At 41.2% G+C, this 5,155-nt stretch overlaps 1 annotated feature.

Annotated features, from left to right (window-relative positions):
- Window positions 4,534-4,593: an enhancer, noted in NCBI's record as "active region_25837". NCBI's record gives its function as "activates an Ori minimal core promoter by ATAC-STARR-seq in GM12878 lymphoblastoid cells {active_cell/tissue: GM12878}" and the evidence as "EXISTENCE:reporter gene assay evidence [ECO:0000049][PMID:35858748]".

The raw sequence follows: 5,155 nt of genomic DNA on the forward strand, positions 1-5,155 counted from the left end.
TTTGGACTTTTGGTCAGCTGACATGACAGGGATTTGTGATTCTAGGACAAGGAGAAAACGGAAGACAGGAGAAATATCTTAGCAGAGAGAGTAAAGATTGATCCCAAACAGTAAAGACTGGGACCTAGGGAAGAAGATGCTGCCAGTGAGAGTCTGTTTCTAATTGTAAAAGCTGATGAACTTAAACAGTGTCACTGTATGGTATTGCATATAAGTTGTTTCTTATACTGTGTTTTTGTAGCATGTATGAATTTCAGAAGCTATAAAGTCAAATGTGCAAAAAAAATTCATTTTTTTCTAAAATGAAAATTAACTTTTCTCTTGAATCCCTGTCACCTGGGGCTAGAAACTTAGTCTTATTCTATTTCATAACCAAGAGAGGAAAACCATAGTTTTACTATATTTTGCCTCTCCCTAGATGTGCATCTGTGTTTCAAGAGGCTAATGGAGCCCCAAAGCATCAGGAGAATAAGGACATTTACATCCATTGTGATTGCATTGGGCTGCAAGTAAGAGGAACCCTAATTAATCAGTGACTAATGGGATATAATTTTTCTTATATAATAAAAAGACTAGAGTCAGAGGGTCCTGGTCTGATATGATGGCTCCGTGATGCTATTAAGGACCCAAGCACTTTCTATGTTTCTGCCCAGCCATCACCAGCATCTTAATTTTGTTCTCACACATGTCTCATGCCACTAGGTGACTGCTCCACCTTTGGCACCTTGTTTCCATTCCAGGATGAAAGAAGAGGAAGTACAAAGGTCCCCAAAGGCACATGTTAGCTGAGTCAGCACCTTGTGGGAAAGTTTTTCCAATTTATGCTTGCATCTCAGTGGCCTGAATAATATCAGATGACCATTCTTAGTTGGAGAAGAGTTGGAAAATGCAATTAAAAAAAACTATTTCAAAACAAAATGGTTGTCTGATTGCAAAGAAGAGATAGTGGATATTAGGCAGGCAACCAGCAGTGTCTTCCACAGGTGTTACACTCAGTCTGCAACAGCATCTTTTGAGATACAGTTTCTCAATTCCCCAGTCTCCATTTTCATTGACATTTACTTTTCTTCTCCATTGAAATGCAATGGTCCAAGAAGATAATGGATTTTGTGCAGAAGACTGGGTGGATGGAAGGAAGATATAGTATTGCTGATTTGGGCATCTAACACAAGAGAAGACAAAAATGCCCATGTTTCCAATACTCTTATTTGAATAAGTAAAGCCTCTCTAGTGTTTAGGCCGTACTCTACTATTGTCACTGTTGGGCCTCTGGGTACTCCAGCAACATCTGCAATTTACTATAGGCTAGAGTATTGCTAAATCCCATGGAAAATCAATCGCTTGCTACTCTCAAATAACTTTTAGTGTTTAACTAACCCCATAACCTCTAACAACACACTGTAAATTCTCGGTCTTTGAAAGCAGAATCTTGACGATATTCTTTTCTTCTGTGTTGTGAGTTCCTTTGGTCAAAGGGACAGACTCATCACTCATTTTCTCCGGCTATATAAAAGCAGGTTTCTGGACAATTTACAGATAAATTAAGGCAAGTTTTTTTCAGCCCTCTGTCAAGATAAAGACCTGATTGAAAAAGACATAAATTACTGTTATTTTTTAATGATTATCAGTCAACATATTACCGTATACTTTCTTTAAGCTACTGTGTCTGTTATGTCAAAGGAACACTCTGGGGTCAATAAGTTTGCTATGTGCTTCAGGAGTTTCTCTTGGGTTAGTGAATTATTTAGGCTCCTTTAGGATCTCAGGCAATCTGTTTCTCCAGACATCCTGCATTGTCTGCCGGTAGCTTAGAATTTACAGCAACTTTAGAGAATCCTCCCTAACACACTGGTGTCTACAGTCCCTGGTCTATGACACAAGGCAAGTCTCCTTTGTGAAAACCACCATAAGTCAGGGAATAGATTCAAAAAATATTCCTTCTGAGCGAAAACTCTAAAAGAAATAGAATTTCTGTGGGAGAGTTTGGGGAGCTGTGAAGATTTGAGAGACCCTAAAGCAGCCATCGTTCAACTCATTTGGGTCACAGACCTCTTAGAGAATCCTATGAAATGTATAAATCCTCCACCCAGACAAATATGCAAATGTTCTTGGGGCTCACTTTTTGTGTGTATTCTTCCAGGGGGAATCAAAGAACTATTTAAGCTCAGGCTGAGAACTCTTGCTTCATCTAGACAATTCTTGCATTAGCAGAAAGTGTGGCTATCTCTTTTCTATCATGACCCAATTTGGGGTGCAGGAAGGAAGCAAGGGAAATGGGAGTAGAAGCCAAGACTGGGGAGACTAGAAACAGAAGACCCTATAATGTCCAACCTGACCTCTGCCCTCAAGTCCTCTAACCTTCAGAGCTAGGGATTTCACCCCCTCCTTTAGTTCCTGTCCAATCTCTGATGTGTAACCAAGCCAGGCACCTGGTCTTGCTCTTTCATGTGGGATCCGGGTCCAGGAACCAGGCCTAGAAACAAAGTTTTTGTCATACTCCTATGAACAAGCTCCTGCCATATATATTCTATTTGTAGGCATGAATCATTCATCTTTTGCCCCATTGAAATCTTAGAGTCCTGGCCCCAAGATAAAAATGGGTCCAATTTTTTTTTATTTCTTTTTCTCTAGCCTTATTTGTGCTGTTGGCTTTGCTCACAGTCTGTCCAGTTCATATTGTTTCCAGGAGAGGAGAAGAAGTCAGCAATGGGAAATGGACTTTTCTTAGGTCCTCTGGAGTTTTTCAGGCTGGAGTTCATCAATGAGATAAACGGCTTTCTAATCCCTTTGTATTATACCTTTTATCTTTTTCTTTGTGAAATATTTTGTCAGATTCTATTAGATACGAGGTCATGTTTCCTGTTTTCAAGATGTTTGAAATCTAAGGGAACAAAGAGAAAAATGGAGTATGATGTGCATCTTCAGACTGAGATAAATGGTAATAAGATGGTGATATACAGAGTTCTCAGAGGAAGAAAACTCGCTTTGAGCCATAGGGAACAGGAAGCCAGGGATTTGAGCAGAGACCTGAATGATGGTCTATTTCCCACAGGACAACCATTCTCAATTTTTTTCTTTAATGGACCTTTGAGAATCTCATGAAGATAGGGGAAGGCCTCTGAGAGCTGTGGTAAAGCCAGCTAATAATTAAAAATCAAGGTCCTGAACTGTAGCCATAACATCAGGATAGCCTGGGCAGGTCATTTTCATGATGTATCTGGATAACCTCACCTATAAAGCAGAATTGAAGGAGATATGACTAGTAATAACTCAGGCTTCTACTTGCTTTAAAATTTATAATTCTATCATCTAGTTTATTACCCTGTATAGAGCCATACTTATTGTTCCAAAGAGATTGAATATGTTTTTATCAAAAGAAAAATAATTCTTGTATCTCATCCCAAAATCACAAAATTATTGAAAAATGTATGCTACCCACACTGGAATTTTAAAGACCCTAACATTTCTCAGCTTCTAATTTAAGGGGTTCATTATAAATAATGAAGGCCAAACTTTACTGAACAATGAATATGTGTCAAGTAAATCGCTAAGTGCATTGCATGCATTATATCATTTAATCCTTCCATTAATTCAATGGATAAAGTGCTATTGTTATTATTATGTACTATATTATTATTCTCATTTTATAGATTAGGAAACTAAGGGCTGCAGCTATTAGGTTACTTTCTCAAGGAATCTCAGTCTGATTTGAATTTGGGCACTCAAATTCCACAGCCCAGGCACTTCAATCACTGCAATGGCTTGTTTTACTGGTGGGGTGACTTATAATGTTTCCTGGGCCACAGATACTTTGAAAATTGAATGAATTCACAGTCTGCAAGCTTGCATATAGAAAGTTTGCACAAATGCACACGTGCACACACACTCATATATACACTTAAACATGTGCACATACATATATATTTTCCATACATTTTAGGATCCTAGAAACTCTTTTGAGGTCTGTTCTATGGAGTTCAGTCTAAGCTTCCCTACTGAAGGCCAGAAATAGCTGGAGAAGACTGTGGAAAGACTGGTCAGGATTAGTCTGGACAGAGACAGCTCGTCCAGTCTATCTTTGCAAAGGATAGAGAGCATGACTGTTGGTTGCCACGCGGGTGGGGTCGGCCGGAAGACTCTGATGCAAGAACAACCTACCCCTGGGATCCTGCCAGCCTGGTGATGTCGCTGACCTGTCACTGCTCATGGGGCAAGGACATTGGGACTGATTTTGTCCATGGAAACAGGATCATCTTTCTCCAGTCACTCTTTCTTTGCCACAGTCCTCCTTAGCTTGTCCCCAAATAGAGTGCCCCCTCAGGGGTGACCTAGGCCTTTCAAAACCAGTCCAGAAAATGACATTAGATCTGCTACCCTCCATTATAGTGAGACATATAGTCATATTCAACGAATTAGGAACAAACATTTTAAGAGTAAGCATTCTCAAACGATGTGTAAAAACTTCAACGCAGTTTGCTTTTCCACTGAAAAGAAAATCTGAGAAGGCAAGGCGGGACTGTGGGTTCCAATAACAAGGTTACCTCCTCTCCTCCCAGCTCACCTTCTCACCTGGCTCTTCCTGAATTTCTGCCTGACCCAGATGCGGCAGTCTTTGCGAGTGAAAGGTGACGCGCTCTGTCCACTAGGGGGAGACTTGCTCACATTTATCCCCTGGCTCTAGCTAAGAATTGGAACTTGTTTGTAGCGGCAGCTCCTTGACCCGGTTTTCTTTGCTATGCAAAGCATTTGAATTTGATTAAAGAAATCCTCTGCTTAAATTTTCAACTCTCATTCCAAGAGGTGATGAGGATGCAGTAATGACTAGTGTGCAAATAAGGTAGTGACTTTCTCCAGTGCGCTCTGAGGTGCGTGGCTTGAACCGGCCTGGGAGGCGCCCGCAGCCCCAGGCCCTGGGAAAGCGCGGCTGCAGTGTCGCAGGTCCATGTGGGCCACGGTGGACCTAAGTAGGCACCGCACCCTGCAGCCTGCCCGGCCTGTGAAGTTTTTAGATTGTTCGGCCAGGCTGACTCACGCAGCTAAGGCAGGAAAATGTGCCCGAGGCGATTGCTGGTGGTATTCAAACAATCCTATTTTCTTTTCTATTTTTCTCTCCTCTGCCCGCCTTCAGTCCCTGTCCCCTTCCGTTCTCTCTTAG

The sequence above is a fragment of the Homo sapiens genome, chromosome 7, assembly GCF_000001405.40.
Source record: "Homo sapiens chromosome 7, GRCh38.p14 Primary Assembly".
Taxonomy (NCBI): domain Eukaryota; kingdom Metazoa; phylum Chordata; class Mammalia; order Primates; family Hominidae; genus Homo; species Homo sapiens.